Here is a 2175-nt window from a genome sequence, read left to right as displayed (position 1 = left end):
TCTTTTCTTCAGGCATATCCTTCAAGCTCTCTTTTCTCAATCTATGCTCTTCCCAGGTGATTTTACCAAATCTCTGACTTCAACGATCCCCAAAGCTGCATTCTACTCCTAACTTCACTCCTGAGTGCCAGACCCCAGTGTTACTGTCCTCTTCTACTATATCAGGATGGCACACAAGGACAATCTATTGCTAGAAGAATTCCTTCTTTCTGGTAATTGCTTACAACAATTCTGAGGGTTAAAAAGAAGGTACAAAAGAATTCTGTTCTGTGCCCATGATGTGGCCTTTCATGTTATACAGAAACCTCCTCAACTGTGTACTTACTCACTGGATCTGCTGCATTTCTTCATTTTCCATCTTTTTGCCTTTTTCTGGCTCATAGCTCTATCTGGCCAGCATCCCGCAGTCAGCCAAAGAAAGACACACTAACAGTTCTATTCTGGAGGCAAACAGTGGATCTTAATTCTTCAGAATGCAGCAGCAAAAAGACAAATACACTTCCCATTTAATACTATTTTTTGCTTCTCCCAATATGACTTCAATGCCTTTTTATGTTAAAATGCCCCCTGTCCACCGTGGGGAGGAATAAATAATGAAATAATGGACTGTTGTTGGCACCGTAACCTATAACTTCCTAGCATAGTTTCTGATACAGATAAATATGTTTAATAATGATTCACTGCTTTAATTAACTCTACATTCTGACATTTTTGGAGCTATTTAGGCTTGGCAGTGATCAGTGTCTTTTCATTGTGTGAGCTTTGCATTAGGAAGATCAATTCAGCATTATTAGTTTGTATTGGAAAAGGGAGAGGGCACTCGGTCCTATTACACATATTTCTAGCAGCTAAGAGTGCTTTCACATGACTGTGCTACAAAATCTCTGTCTCACCACCTGTAAACCAGAATGATTTCACTGCTTCTCAGAAACCTGGCCCTCCTTGCCTAAATTGGTCACTGCCCATTGCCCAGACTGGAATCCATCTTTAATTCACTTCCTGTCTCCACTGTTCCCATATCTTGTCAGGCACCAAATCTTTCATCTGCCCAAAATAAAGCTCAAATCTTATCTCCCCTACTGTCATTACCTTAATTCTGTTAATGCTAGTTTAGTGCTTAGTGTTTTATATGCGTCATCTATTTTTTTCTTCACACACAAGCTATAAAATCTGTATTATCGGAGGAGCCAAGATGGCCGAATAGGAACAGCTCCGGTCTACAGCTCCCAGCGTGAGCAACGCAGAAGACGGGTGATTTCTGCATTTCCATCTGAGGTACCGGGTTCATCTCACTAGGGAGTGCCAGACAGTGGGCGTAGGCCAGTTGGTGCGTGCACTGTGTGCGAGCCCAAGCAGGGCGAGGCATTGCCTCACCTGGGAAGCGCAAGGGGGCAGGGAGTTCCCTTTCCGAGTCAAAGAAAGGGGTGACGGACGCACCTGGAAAATCGGGTCACTCCTACCCGAATATTGCGCTTTTCAGACCGGCTTAAAAAACGGCGCACCACGAGACTATATCCCACACCTGGCTCGGAGGGTCCTAGGCCCACGGAATCTCGCTGATTGCTAGCACAGCAGTCTGAGATCAAACTGCAAGGCGGCAGTGAGGCTGGGGGAGGGGCGCCCGCCATTGCCCAGGCTTGCTTAGGTAAACAAAGCAGCCGGGAAGCTCGAACTGGGTGGAGCCCACCACAGCTCAAGGAGGCCTGCCTGCCTCTGTAGGCTCCACCTCTGGGGGCAGGGCACAGACAAACAAAAAGACAGCAGTAACCTCTGCAGACTTAAATGTCCCTGTCTGACAGCCTTGAAGAGAGCAGTGGTTCTCCTAGCACGCAGCTGGAGATCTGAGAACTGGCAGACTGCCTCCTCAAGTGGGTCCCGGACCCCTGACCCCCGAGCAGCCTAACTGGGAGGCACCCCCCAGCAGGGGCACACTGACACCTCACACGGCAGGGTATTCCAACAGACCTGCAGCTGAGGGTCCTGTCTGTTAGAAGGAAAACTAACAAACAGAAAGGACATCCACACCGAAAACCCATCTGTACATCACCATCATCAAAGACCAAAAGTAGATAAAACCACAAAGATGGGGAAAAAACAGAACAGAAAAACTGGAAACTCTAAAACGCAGAACGTCTCTCCTCCTCCAAAGGAACGCAGTTCCTCACCAGCAACGGA

At 47.1% G+C, this 2175-nt stretch overlaps 1 annotated feature.

The window, feature by feature from the left end:
• Positions 625 to 1824: an enhancer, noted in NCBI's record as "BRD4-independent group 4 enhancer chr8:36347406-36348605 (GRCh37/hg19 assembly coordinates)". NCBI's record gives its function as "activates an origin of replication core promoter dependent on BRD2, P300/CBP, MED14 and CDK7 cofactors, and independent of BRD4, by STARR-seq in HCT116 cells {active_cell/tissue: HCT116}" and the evidence as "EXISTENCE:reporter gene assay evidence [ECO:0000049][PMID:35650434]".

This window comes from Homo sapiens, chromosome 8 (assembly GCF_000001405.40).
Source record: "Homo sapiens chromosome 8, GRCh38.p14 Primary Assembly".
In the NCBI taxonomy this organism is placed as follows: domain Eukaryota; kingdom Metazoa; phylum Chordata; class Mammalia; order Primates; family Hominidae; genus Homo; species Homo sapiens.
Note: the sequence above shows the minus strand (reverse complement) of the source record. Positions and strands in the feature narration are given on the sequence as shown.